Here is a 14,802-nt window from a genome sequence, read left to right as displayed (position 1 = left end):
ATGACACTGTCTCACCATTGCTGTCATCTCTTGTAGTAGGTGCACAGAATTCTACAGGTGGCAGTGCCTTCTTATATGTTATCTGGTGGTTATGAATTAGTGGCTCCTTTTCTACAAAGCAATTAAAGGGACTTTTCCAGAACTGTTAGGTGGCTCTTCTTTGCTCTTAGGTTAAAATCCACAATCATTAACCTTAGTGACTGGCTTTGAGCCTACCCGTCTGGTCTCACCTCCTGCCATTTGCTACACAGATACATTAAAGTTGTTCCAGTTTCTCAGAAGGATCAAGACCTGTTGCATCTCAGGGCTTCACAGGTTCCCTTCCTTCTGCCTGGATGTTCTTCCTGCTTGATCTTTCTTTGCCGAGTTGAGACCTACATCCCCTAAGGAGCACACCCAACTCCCATAATGGATCAGGCCCCTTTTTAATAGGTTTTCATGTTATCTTGTCCTCCTAAGTGGCATTTATCGCAGTCCTAAACAAATACTAAATTTGTTGTTTTATGCCCATCTCTTCCACCAGAATGTAAGTCCTGTGAGATGGGAGACCCCCTGCCTTATACCTTACTGTGTCTTCAGCATTTGGAACTGTTCCTGGCAAAAAGGAGACACCCAGTAGATATTTCTAGAATGAAAAGAAGGATAAAAGGGAAAAGGAAAGGATGAGCAAATGGGAAGGAGAAAATAAAGAAAAAAAGAAAGAATGGATCAATCTGGATCCATTTTTTTTTAAGTTTGTAAGTTGGGGGATGTGTTGGTTAATAGATAATTCTTGAGTTATTTTCAATCTTAGTTTTGAGAAGTGAAAATCATAAATAGTGTCTATCCAGGTCAGTAAAAGTGGCTTTCAGAAATGAGAAGGATTTCACATAAGAGAGCAAGTAGAAGCACAAATTTGTGGCTTAGTGCTTGACTATACATGTGCAGATGTGGCACAAGTTACCTCCTGGCTGGAAAACCAAGTGTATCTAGTGTTGAAGCAACACTTAGTGACAAAACCCCAGAAGTTGTGGGCTTTCCTAAGGCACAAGGGACACAAATGAGGGGGAGGGGAGGGTGCCACTGGACTGGGAAGATAAGAGGAAAAATCGTAGATAAATATTTGCACTTATGCTGCAAACAAGGATTGGCAAACCATTAACGAAATTAAATGTCTTTACTCTGAGGACTGCTGGAGAGGATATGGAGAAGTCAAGTCGTAATGTAAGCAGATGAAGAAATATTGGTACAGATAAGAAAGACCTGTTGATTAAAAAATGAGAACTCTGAATTTTAAAGTATATTTTGGCTAAAAAATAAATCAACTTACAAATAGGAAATTATAGCCTTTTCCATCTCCCCTCTTGGCTTTCTTAAAAAACCTTTGCCAGAGAAAAAGGGATTTGCCCCTTGGAGTAGAGTTTGGAGCTAATGCTAGGCTTTGCGCCAAGTATGATAAATAAATTGATGTGGAAGAAAGGCAGATCACAATATCATTAGATTGGAAATACCCATGAGAGTACAGCGCGTAACAGTGGAAGTTGATGCAGCATTGTATATTTGGCTGGTGCACACTAAATATTAAATATTAATAAAACAAATGCTATTGTTTTCAACTTTGGGGAGGAGATGGGCTCTGCCTAGGGATTTTTGTATTGAATCCCATAACTAAACTAAGTGCTTGAAAAAAAATATGGTTTCTCAATGAAACCATGGAAATTTGAATTCAATCTATTTAGGTATATGCTGGATTTAAGAAATGCAAAGGTGGGTGGTACTTCAGGAGAGGAGGTTAAGATAAGATTAGCAGGAAAAAAATCAAACAGAGGGTATTTAAATACTGTATTATAAATGAGTAATATATTCAGTCTTGTAAGAAGGCTTGGGAGATCTAAAGGAATCAGCAGAACTGTGGATAAAAAGGAATTTGAAGTTGGAGAGTTGCTTTGGAGACTTCAGTGATTAAAAGGTACGCAAAATTCATAGTCATAATAACACAAGGCAAATAGCTTATACTCAGTGTGTGGGCTGTTAGATAAATTCACTCAATATTTCCCATTTCTTTAAGAGGATGTAAGGAAGTCATTTGCTATGTATTGAACAGGAGACAACCGTGTTCCGAAATGAGCCTCTTAGCACTGCATGCAATTCTACAAAGGGAGGGCTCTTTGTTGACGTAGTGCTTTATTTAACTTTGTCTTCTGATCCTCCATCTAAATTCCAGCTTTCTCCAGGGGAATCTTTCAGGTTCTGTCTAGGGTCTGTAAACATCTTTGGGAGCCGTAATTCTTCCCAGCGTGACTCCCATCTATTAGATGGAAATAATAGCTAACATAGTGGGAGTTGTTTTATATTAAAACATGTAATTGTTCATTCATTTGCTAATCTTTTTGTAAGGCGAGAGCTTTTTCTTTGAGTGTGCGTTCGCTTATTGGAGTTCTGCACCTTTCTTATGTAAGCTATACCCATGACACATGTTGGCAATTTCCCAGTTTCTTTTTTAAGAGGAAATTTAAAAACATATTGTGAAGCAATGTCTATGGATGATTTTTAGATGTGTTCATGACTGTTCTATTTTTATATGATTTTCTATTTAAACCTAGTTCAACTGCCTTATAAAATAAGCAGTCTCTTTTCTATCTTTCCAAATATTTTAACTTAATTTTTATAGAAAAATTATTTTGCACTAATATTCAATAATTTATGTAAAGTTTAACAAAATGATATACTTTCAATAATAGGTACAAGTGAAATAAGCAACCATAAATGATCTTGGTTTATATAGAATTTACCTGGGGGAAGCACAGGTGTGCAAAAAGATGAGAGATCCAGGGATGAGTAAGAATAAGTCACTATGTTTTCCTGAAGGAATGGCGATTGTCATGTCAGTTAAGTGGAGGTTGATTAAAAGAGCTTCTACAATAATAAAACTGAACACTGTTCCATACTTATGTACTAGGAACCATGTGATATGTTTGCTTGCATTATGCCTTTTAATTATTGTTATATTCCTTGAGCAAAATGGAATTTGATGAAAGAAATTATTTCCCAAAAGCCAAGTAGCGTGTAGGAAGTAGAGTTAGAATTTGAATTGACACGGTCTGACTCAGCATTTAATCACACAATCTCGTTCCCACTCTGCTATCCACTTGGCCACACGTACCTCATAGGGCTGCATAAAGGATTAAAGGTGATAATTTGTGTGAAAATATCTGGTGGACCCAAGGCTCGATCATGGTTAGTGTTTAATCCTACTTGGCTGTTCCACATCTGCATATTAAGCTTAATAATTATTACCCCCAAACAGTTGATTGATTCTAGAGCACGGAAGGGATTTGAAGTCCTGTGCTAGGAAGTGTCAAAATGAAAAAACAATAAAATAGACACATGGTGTATAATAGCTACCATTTATTGAGTGCTCACCATGTGCTAGACCCTGGCCCCAGCTCTTAGCCTACATTATCTCATTAAATCCAGTGCTCGTGACAACTCTATGAGGTCATTGCTGTTATTATCCCATTTTACAGTTGAGCAAATTAAGCAAAGAGAAGTTAAATTGTTTGCTCTAGGTCACAGAGCTGACAGTTGGTAGAGCTCTGAGGAGCTTTGAATCCAGACTTATTTAGTTTTAAAATCTAGTTCTTAGAAATCTTTCTCTGAGGATAGGGGGAGGTGGAGTAATACTATGCCGAACAAATCGACAAAATTTTTCCAGAATTAGAATAAAAAATTGGTTGATTTCTTACACATTACCTTTTTGTTTCCATTTTGTTCCTATCTCTTCCCAAAGACCATTAAACCTGTAGATACTGAAATTATCTAAAAGCCGTCTGCATGACTTATCAAAAGCCTCTTGAGAGTAAACCAAATTTATAATAGGCATGCATGTTTTGTAGGTCTATCATTTATGTTAAAATTTTTAGAATGAGTCATCATTTAAATGTAATACCAAGCATGAAAGCCATGTTGAGATGAAAATATATTTGGGTGAATATTGAATTCTTTCTTCACCAGTTGCCTACAGTTTTCCCATGTTGGAAGGAGAGGAAGATGTAAAAAAGAGATGCTCTGTGGAAGATACATGACCCATATCCTTAAAGAGAAATTCTGACTGGCTGAGCTGCCTAGAGTCTTTTGGCTTCACTGAACAAAGGCCTCCTTTAAAAATAGGTTGACCAGGCATTTTTGCTCTTTTCCATGGGCTAGGTCTAAAATCTAACCAAGGTTGTCAATGGTTTATAACTTGGCTCTCCAGTGCCTTCACAGCTCCATGTACCTCTAAACCACACCACTGCCAAAGACCCCTTGCAAAACGAAAACAGAGAGAACAAGCAGATTAACTCAAATTCCTCCACCCTCTAGTCGATTCGAGTAGCTCTGCCTTTATCTGGTTTAGTTATTTAAACTTGGGATTAATTTTGTTTGATTAAAGATTTCTGAGGTGTTTTTTCCTTTTCTTTTTATAATATTGACTGCTTTAGGTCTTGCTTCTCTAAAGATAGAGAACAAAAAAAGATGAATCAAAGGAAGAAAGTGACAAGGAGGAGGTCCATCCACCTTCCTAGGCTTCTGTATTCCTCTTGTAAAAGCACCAGCCTCTGATCAGAGAACCCCTTGGACTTTGTCCAAGGATCTTGGGTCCTTCCAGGCTCATTGACTTTGTACTTACCTCTTTCTTGACAGTAGAATATGAACTCTAGAAAGCAGGGCCACTATCGTTAGCACTTTAATTTATTTATTTATTTATGAGACAGAGTCTCTTTCACCCAGGCTAGAGTGAAGTAGTGTGATCTTGGCTCACTGCAACCTCCACCTCCCAAGTTGAAGCGATTCTCCTACCTCAGCCTCCTGAGTAGCTGGGGCTACAGGGGCGTGCTACCATGCCGGGCTAATTTCATATTTTTAGTAGAGAGGGGGTTTTGCCATGCTGGCCAGTCTGGTCTCAAACTCCTGATCTCAGGCAATCTGCCTGCCTGGGCCTTCCAAAGTGCTGGGATTACAGGCATGAGCCACCATGCCTGGCCCTACCTTTAGCACTTTAGCTCCACTTCCCAGAAGAGCATTGAGATTTGATGAGCACTCTTATATTTGTTTGCCTGAATGGAATAAAAAAAGTGTTGTATACATTAATGAATGAAGATCCATTGTGAAGGAGCAGAATTGACAAAGGGGGGATAATTAGGGCAAAGAATGGCTGCATTTCAATTTGATAAAAATGAAATGACTGATGCAGGAGGGGGTGGGCTTTCCACACTTGGATCCTATCCAAACTTCAAGTGCAGTTTCAAGATCATGTCAGCTTAAAAAAGTGGACGTTTATCTTTCTCTTTCAACAGATCACTGATTAGATCAAATTAAATGGGACTATTTATTTCCCTGTATGGCATGGCTCCGGATGTGGAGTTGAAGAGGCAGAGTTCTTATCCCCTCGTGGTAATTTTCCAGCTATGAGATTTTGGGAAAATTACTTAAGCCTATCTGTGTAATGAGGTTCATAACACCTTGGCCTCCTATTGTGGAATCAGAAAGTTGTCTTCTTTTTGAGAAGAGAAAATGAAATCTCCATTTCTATCTTCTCCTGTCTCCATTCTTATATCTTTTTTTGACTCAGCCTCGATGAAAGGAATCATAAGTTAGGCAAGGGATTTTGCAAAGAGGAAGCAATCCTGAAGACCTACAAATTATTTTTTATTCAGATACAGTGATGTGCAGCATCTTTCTCTATAAACAAGATAGAGAAGGATACAGAGTATTTAAAACCTGTGAATGAAATATGGGGCAAAGGTTTCAGGTAAAATGAAATTGCATTACGCTCAATTCTTTTTCATAAGTTAGATCATCTCCTGTTTTCTCATAGTCCATGTAAAGAAGATAAACCTTTTCAGAGCCACCAAACTCTTAGACTACACAGACTTCCTTAATCTCAATTTAGGACTCCAACCATTATCCCCAAGACATGTGTTAACTCCAGAATTACAAAATGTGTCTTAGAGAATATGTATCATAAAACTCTGTCATAGGAAAATGTTCATAAAATTGATCTTATTACTCATATTTATGATAAATAGACTCACAACTTCCTCCTCCCCATCACCCTATTTCCTTGAAACCTATAGTGAGGGAGGAGGGCAATTCAGCTTGTATTAAAAAAATGACTCTAACACGCCATGAGCAATCCAGTCATTGCCAGAGCCTCTTAGTGTGGGTTCCCTTGCAGGCTTGTTGTAAAAATCTCATAGGATGATGGTTCCCCCAAACTGTTTTAAAACTATAAAATGAAAAATACATGTAAGTTTTGAATAATGTTATATTAATGGGTGGAATGAGCTTAGAGAAAAGGCAGGGAAAGGACAAATGCTAACATTTATCAACCATAGTCTTTGGAAGAAATCAAGACACTTTACTGACATTATCCCACTGACTATGACGGTCCTCAGATTAAGCCCCTTAGAAGCCCTTAGTATTACTATAAGGATTATGACCTAACTTCCTACTTCATGCGAAGTTCAGAATAATCAATAGTACAAGCATGAGTGGATGTCCAACAAATTTCTTTCCCCCCATAATTATTACTTAGACTTTTGAACATGGCAATGTATTTCTTACCAAAAAAAAAAAAAAATGCCCCTGGCTTTGTTGGTGCCCCAACTGTGTATTTCATCTTCCTGCTGGGGACTCCAGCACTGGATTTATATAATCTTCTAGATGGTGTAAATTAAATAGTAAAATCTATCCAAACTCATTTCTCTCTAGATTCCTTAATTCAAAATTATTTTCAAAAAGTTTGGGCATCTTCTAAGATTGATTTTTTTTTCCCAGCCCCAGTTTGGCTAAGTGAACCATTAAAAAGAGAAACAAATAGAACCAACATAACAAATTAAGACATGCTTCAGGCAACTAGCGCTTCTTTTTAACTCCCATCTGCCAAGCTCAGGTTTCTGAGGTGCAATGCAGTAACAGAATGTGGGTGTGATCTTTTAAATTTTTTCCTTTTTTCACCCTGAAGATCCACGTGCTTTCCTAATGAATGCATGACATAAGATTAGGACCCAATGCCCTAATGCAGTCAGAACTGGCATGTGAACTTGCACTCTGATGTCTGGGTCCTTCATGCACAGACTTAATTTGGGGAGCATAGACCTGATGCATTTTTCTTTTCTTCTTTTTCACCTTTGTTCAGGTGGGTCCCTGCACACAGCTGGCATATGCAAGACCCTGCTTGACACCAAGTATTGATGGTAGGGGCTGGAGACATATTCTTAGGAAGACTTAGGAAGAAGCAGCCCATTTGTTTCCATAGGGTAATAAAGAACCTAGCAAGGTTCCTCCTGTTTCTGGAACACAGGTGCAGCTTATGCTTTCAGGCCTCATCTTGAATTAATTCAACACCTGCACTTGCAAAGCAATCAACATTTCTCTCAAGTCTGAGCCTGATGTATTGGAAGATAGGCTGTTTCCTTCTCTATAAGATGAAGGTGTTGGACTTCACCTTCCAGAGGCCTCCTCTAGCTCTGACACCTGTGAGATTTACGTTCTCAATAAATCCCTCAAACATTCTCCCTTCTGTGTCTGGAAAAGATGTGTTTACCTCTGGCGACCTAGGTAAATGGCTGAAACAACCAGAGTTGTCTTTTAAGATGTAGGTTGAAGAGTGTTGTTTCCAAGTCTGTAAGTGTCTCGTGGCCTCCCAGCATACTTGGCATAGAAGCCAACTTCTCGCCAGTCCTCATGTCTGGACCTTGTCCCCGTTCTCCTCTGACACTTCATCTCTCACCCTTCTACCCCAGTCCAGTGGGCTTCTTTGCTCCACAATACAATACAAGCTAATATATTTTGGAGCAAGATTCTCGCCTTTGCTGTTCTCTGTGTGGAACACTTCTTTCTAAATGTTCTCCTGGCCAAGACTTTCTCCACCATTCAGGTCTCACCTCAAATGTCACCCCCACAGAGAGGCTTCTGTAGCTCCCCTGTTGTCCAGGGAGGCATCCTTTCTCATAAGCCTTTTTAAATTTTATGAATAGCCATTAACCAAAGCTGAAATTGTCTTGTTTATCTATTGCTTGTTTTCCCTATAAGAGTATATGGCAACAAGTAAAGACCTTGTCTTTGTTGCTCTCATTAGCAGATAAAAGAGAGTAGAGTAGGTGTCCAATAAATATATGTAAAGTGGGCTAGGCGTGATGACTCATGCCTGTATTCTCAGCACTTTGGGAGGCCAAGGCAGGCGATCACCTGTGGTCATGTTCGAGACCAGCCTGGTCAACGTGATGAAACCTCATCTCTACTAAAAACACAAAAACTAGCCAGGTGTGGTGGTGCACGCCTGTAATCCCAGGTACTCAGGTGCCTGAGGCAGGAAAACCTCTTGAACCCGGGAGGAGGAGGAGGTTGCCATGAGCAGAGATCATGCCGTTGCACTCCAGCCTGGGTGAGAGAGACTGTCTCAGAAAAAAAAAAAAAATTACATGACAACAACATAGCAACTTATGTGTGTGTACAACTTTGTGCTGAGTACTGTTCTAGGGATTTTTGTATATTGACTAATTGAACTATCAGCCTTATGAGATGGATACAGTTTACATTAAGTTGTTTTTGCATAGCTATAAAGAAATACTGGATCTAGAGGCCATTATCCTTAGCAAACTAACACAGGAACAGAAAACCAGATACTGCAGGTTCTGACTTATGAGTGGGAGCTAAATGATGAGAATACATGGACACATAGAGTGAAACAACACACGCTGGGGCCTATCCGAGGCGGGAGGATGGGAGGAAGGACAGGAATAGGAAAAATAACTAATGGATACTAGGCTTAATACCTGGGTGGTGAAATAATCTGTACAACAAACCCCATGACACATGTTTACCTTTGTAATAAACCTGCCCATCCTGTACATGTACCCCTGAACTTAAAAGTTAAAAAAAGTATTACATTTTATTAATTTTTTTGAGACAGAATCTCACTCTGTCACCCAGGCTGGAGTGCAGTGGCACAGTCATGGCTCACTGCAACCTCTGCCTCCTTGGTTCAAGTGATTGTCTTGCCTCAGCCTCTTGAGTTGCTGGAATTACAGGTGCCCACCACCATGGCCAGCTAATTTTTAAAATATATTTTTAGTAGAGCCGGGGTTTTACCATGTTGGCCTGGCTGGTTTTGAACTCCTGACCTCAAGTGATCTGCCCTCCTCGGCCTCCCAAAGTGCTGGGATTACAGGCATGAGCCAAAGTGCCCAGTCTGAATTTTATTTTAGATTTTACAAAAAGAAATACCTGAGACTGGTTAATTTATAAAGAAAGGAGGTTTAATTTATAAAGAAAGTAGTTTGGCAGGCTTTACAGGAAGCATGGTGCAGGCATCTACTCGGCGTCTTGTGAAGCCTCGGGGAGCTCGCGGTCACGGGGGAAGGCGAAGAGGGAGCAGGCGTGTCACATGGTGAAAGCACAGGGGCCAATGAGAGAGAGAAAGAGTGGGAAGGGAGGCACCACATACTTTTAAACAACCAGATCCCATGGAAACCCAGAGTGAGAGCTCACTTGTCACCCATGGGATGGCCCAAGCCACCCATGATCCAAACACTTCCTACCAGGCTCCACCTCCAACACTGGAGATTACAATTCAACATGAGATTTGGGCAGAGACAAATATCCAGACGAGATCACAGTTATTGTTCCCATTAACAGTTCGGGAAATGGAGGAAGAGAGAGGCTGATTGACTTCCCAAATGTTTTTAATGACATGGCTAAATGAACTCCTCTATGGCTTTATATTTTCTGGGTGGGACTTAAACAGCCATTCGAAAACACCTTTGGAGAATGCGATCTGGAAACTTGGAGCTTTTACTGTGTTATGATTGTCCCCACTAATGTGAAAAAGCTCACAATTCCTTCTTCAGGTAATTAACAAAGCCTACTGAGAAAGTCAGTTTTGCTTTTTGTTTTTAATTCTCTACATCTCCTCACCTCTCGAGAATTAGAGCAGGAGTTATACACGTACATAGCATCATGTCACTTGGTGAGCACCTGAGACTATCAGGGACAGGATTTTTCTTTTTATTTTTTCAAAATCATACCCTTAAACCCTGTACAATTAATAAAGTACCCTCAATATGTTAAGATTAATAAAGTAAATATTTTACAAGCTGATTTTCTTTTATTAGAATGAGGGATTCAGAGTAACATGAACCCTACTGGCTTTATTGAAATATTAAAACATATAAATAATATATATGGAGACAGACTCACAGAAGATACGAAATCTTCAGAACATTACATATATAAATTATATACACTATTTGATTCTAGAAGTTTAATGTGTTAGAAAATATTCATCTCACTCTTCCATGTTTAGCCCATCCTTATAGGATTTGGGGAAGGGAGGTTAACATGAATATGGAGAAAGGAAATTAGGATTTCGGACTGCCAGTTTTAGCAAAGAACAAAACCAACTATTGTCCTCAAATCAGCCAGACTTGTTATTCAGGAAAACAGATGCATTTTTATGAGAGGCCATAATACAAGTTTTATTGCTATAATAAAAAAAAAAGTCAAGCTAGATTGGGTCTTATTACCCTCCCCTGCCCCAATTCCATGCATTTCCTTTGTTAACAGTTGAAACACTTGAAATTCCTTGTTTCATGCTTGATTCCCCTCTAGGCCTGAAGCTTAAAGAGGACAATGTCATTGCCTGGCTTACTATTGTACCCAGCAGACATACATAGCTGTGTGACCTTAGCCTCATTCCTGAACCTGTGCCTCAGCATTCTCAATTGTACATCAGAGGTAATAAAGGTAGTTAACACATAGGATTATAATGAAAAATACGTATGTCAATGCACACACACTTAGAACAGTCCAGACCCCCAGCATAAAACTCAAAGTTTTAGCTGTTATTTTCACTAGAATGTAAGTTACTTGAGAAAACTTTGTTTGCTGCTGATTCCTCGGCGCCTATAACCGTGCTTTGGATGTAATTGGCACCTAGCTAATAATTCTTGAATACATCATTTACTAAATTATTATTTCAGATCCTTCATAATTAGATTTTAGTGCTGTGTTGCAGTATGGTAGAGTACACACACACACACTCTCTCTCTCTCACACACACACACAAACACACACACACAAACACACACACACGCACCCTCCTTTATTTTCATGATTCTCAGTATAGAAACTTTTGATTAATTACATTGGCCGGCAATTGCGAGGACAACCAAATAGCACAAGGTGTCCTCCCAGCACTGGACATCTGGGAAGGTGGACCATTTGCCTTTAGCTTTCAGCTGCCTTTGAACTCTGCCTCTGGCCAGTTCCCTAGATGTTTATGCTCTGGATCAAAGCCATAGTTTGTTTTCATTTTGCAAGGGGGGCATTGCAACTTATCACAAGGATTGCAGCAGGGAAGTCAATAGCCCCTCACCTTAAATGCCAATTTATTGTTCCCACTCTGTCACACTTGATTAAAATACAGAGTTTGCCTCCAAGGCTGAAATTAGCTTTTCATTTTGACTGACTGCCATCCAGGTCTGAAAAATAGCAGCTCGTTTGTTTCAATATTTACCACATCCATTCAGAAGAGGTTTACATTATTGCCAATTAGGGCTTAATTGTTATCCATAACTCAAACATTTGTGGCTGTTTACGGAGAAAAGCCATCATTCTCTTTTTACCACCATGACTTCCACTACCCTTAGACCCCTGCAACATGAGTGGAGAAATTTCTTTTCCTTAAGATGGAGCTGGCTGAGAATGTCATACTCTCTTCCGCTATTAGTTTCCAGATGTGGCTGAAGGCAAACAGTAATTGCCCGGTTTAATGGAAGATGGTTAAGCCTGTGTTGGACATCTGCTGTCTTTGCCGCCCTAGTCTGCATTTCCCAGTATTCTGCCAGCAGAAACGTGAGTTGACTTTGGAGGCATTCTGCGTTGCATGGATTATTGCATATCCTCTGGGCTGGGCTCCCAGCTTTTCCTATAGTCCCCTATAGCATGTTCTCAGGACAGCAGTTCTCAATGCAGAGTGATCCTTTTGAAGTATGTCAGATCATGTGACTCCTCTGTTTCAAAGCCCCCAACACCTACCTGTCTCCCTTAAAGGCCAGTATCTGTGCAACGGTTCAGAGTCTTGCACATCTCTGTCCCTCCTCACTGTTCTGAATTGACGCCCTATCACTCTTCCCTCATACATTCTGCCCCTGCCATGCTGACTTCACTGCTGTTTCTCAATCTTCCCAGGCTCATTCCCACCTCTGGGTCTTTGCTCTTCCTCTTTCCTTTGCCAGGAACCATCTTATTCCAGGAATATCACTGGCTTGCTGCCTCATGTCCTTCACGTTTTGTAAGAAATAGATCTTCCGGAACCACCTTGTTTAAGAAAGTACTCTCCGGTGTCTATTCCCTTGCTCTATCTACTTTTTCTTCAGTATCACTTATCACTTGGCATATATTTATTTGCATACTGTCTGCCTCTTCTTCAAAGACATAAATTCCAGCAAGGCGGGGATGCATTAGGTTTATTCTTATAGCCAGTGTCATTGTTATTTCTCCCTTTCTTTCTGTTAATCTCATCTCTGCCTGTCTTTCAGGTATTCGGTGCTCACACATCAATCCCTGGCTTCCCAGCGTCCCTCAGCAAACATCCCCTTCTCCTGATGCAAAATAACCTCTCTCCTATTGTTATTATCCCACATGGTTCTATTACTCAATGCAGAGTGGCATTGAGCAAATTCACTCCAAGGTATGAGAGTACTTGCAGGTGAAACATTTTTTGTTATATCCAGATTCATATCTCATTGGTGGAATTTTAGGCAACCTGTCAAAATTGTATGTTTGTAGCGGATGCTTAGGAAATCAAGAGATTTCATAGAAAACTCCAATTCTCAGTTCTCCTAAACATTGGACAACCTGCCAAAGTTCCTCCTGGCATCACTGCCTGGAGCTGACACTCATCTGGCCCTTTGGATAAGAAGTGGATTCTCCCCACAGTCCCCAGCAGGCCCCTTCAACTCATGTATATGTTCCTGTGTCCATGTATATGGAATGTGTCCCAGACTTGGTGCAGGTGAGCTGAAATATCTTATCCTCTATCTTTGTAAATGCACCCAAACACAGTGCCAGCATGAGTAGACATCCCTCCCGTCCATGTGCACAGCTGGCTCATCACAAAGTGAGCCTGGTGAGTCTAGTTTTTTCTCCTATTCTGATAATCTTGAAAAGGTACTTGTTCTGTGCCACTTAAAAAGAAAATACTGATGTCCAGTCCAGTCCCAGACCAATTAAATAGAAGCTTCTGGGATCTGGGGTGCCCAGCATTGGTAATTCTCTGATGGTCTTAGACATTTCTAAATATGCAGTGAAGTTTGAAGACTGCCATGAAAATGTTCATTCCTGATTACTATTGCAGGAGAGAGTGTCATTCAGTTAGGGTGGCCTGGGGTGGGCTTGGCCTAAGGTTAAGCCTAAGACAATTCTGGTGACCAGAGAGGGAACATCTCCAATCTTTACATTGTCCCAGCTAGTGTGACCCTGGGATTCTCACCATCTGGGTGAGAACAGCAGCTTGAGTTGGCTGACCTTTCTCTTGGGGTGTGTTTGTCCTTATTGGAAAAATAAAAGGATATGAAACACAATGGTGGAGAAGAAAATTAAACAGCACAGCTAGTTTCTGAACAGGAGACCCTCTCCTTTGTCTAATGGGGTCCTAAGAGAACGTAACTTTTAGACATTATTATTTTTGCATTTGACTTAGTACTAGATTTTAAAGCCTTTATTCAGAACAAGTTTTCTCTCAATCTAGAGAATCAAGCCTGAGAAATTTACTTGATAATATGTGCCAAACTTTACCAGTAACTGAACACCATGATTTCCGTTTCTTTCTCTGAGTTAAAATTTATAGCACCCTCCTAAAATGATTCCTGGCTGCCAGATATGTTTGAGAAAATGTAGTTAATGGCAAATGCCTACTGCCCCAGAACTAGAAGAGAGATCGCTTATCTTCAGAGACCTGAGAGGTGGTGGGAGCATCCCCGGGTCATGCCCTACTGGCTTTCCATCTTTAACAGGCAGTTTATTGCAGGTGAATTTCAGAAAACTATCCTTCCAAGATTGTTGCCATTGCTGTGAAGTGTTTCCACCTGCTCTGGGGCCATGGAAGAGAAAACTTCCAAGTATCTTTATGTTAACTGATTTTTCCAGTGGACCACAATTCACAGAAAAACCTGCTTATGGGCCAAGCCTGGAGAACAATCAATGGGACAAGGAGGAGAAAACTTACCTCTATTTAATCAGCTCCACGTTTCTGACAAATGTGAAGAGCAACTGTGAATACAGCTCGGCTGCTTAATTCCAGACTGTTTTATGTTGGAGCATCACTCTTCTCTCCAAAACTTTGTCAAGATCGTTTTACCAAGAGCACTTGCTGGAAAGCCTTTTTGGAGAAAAAGGCAAATAACGTATTCTGTGAGGCAGTAAAGCAGCCACTTAGAGACACAGTACTTTGATTATACTCTTTGAAAGACAGAGAGAATTAGATTTTAACAACTATTCCAAATCTCTCACCTAAGGGGTAGAATTATAAAAGAGCTCCGCATCACCCTTGTTATTACTACATATTTGGACAAGGGAAAAATTCAAAATAAAGTTATTTATAAAAAATGCTCATTTTTTCATAAGGCTGTGCAATATGTGATTTGTTAGCACAAATTGGAGTGTGGAGGGCATGTGTGTTGAATTTGGCCTGAGGGATCCTCCTAATGGTTTAGGCAACAGATGAGTGTCCCTACATTCACTAGTTTCCTTAAATAAACCACGGAAGCTTTAGAGGAA

The 14,802-nt window shown here is 40.1% G+C and overlaps 1 long non-coding RNA gene across 2 annotated transcripts in view, besides 1 other annotated feature; it reads left to right on the top strand.

Annotated features, from left to right (window-relative positions):
* Positions 1–14,602, top strand: part of LOC107984001 (uncharacterized) — an 80,255-nt gene extending 65,653 nt beyond the window's left edge. The window contains exons 3-5 of one of the 2 annotated variants that reach the window (XR_007067757.1): positions 11,753–11,877; positions 12,564–13,039; positions 14,054–14,602. This is a non-coding gene — a long non-coding RNA (uncharacterized LOC107984001). Of the gene's footprint in view, positions 1–11,752; positions 11,878–12,563 lie in introns of both variants that reach the window. The other variant, XR_936884.3, reaches the window with a different exon arrangement.
* Positions 9,765–12,791: an enhancer, noted in NCBI's record as "VISTA enhancer hs1448". NCBI's record gives its function as "enhancer in: limb[4/4] | tail[4/4]" and the evidence as "EXISTENCE:transgenic organism evidence [ECO:0001131][PMID:17130149]".
* Positions 14,603–14,802: the final 200 nt, after the last annotated feature.

The sequence above is a fragment of the Homo sapiens genome, chromosome 20 (assembly GCF_000001405.40).
Source record: "Homo sapiens chromosome 20, GRCh38.p14 Primary Assembly".
Lineage (NCBI taxonomy): Eukaryota > Metazoa > Chordata > Mammalia > Primates > Hominidae > Homo > Homo sapiens.
The sequence above is the reverse complement of the archived record's forward strand: the minus strand, read 5'-3'. Positions and strand labels throughout refer to the sequence as shown.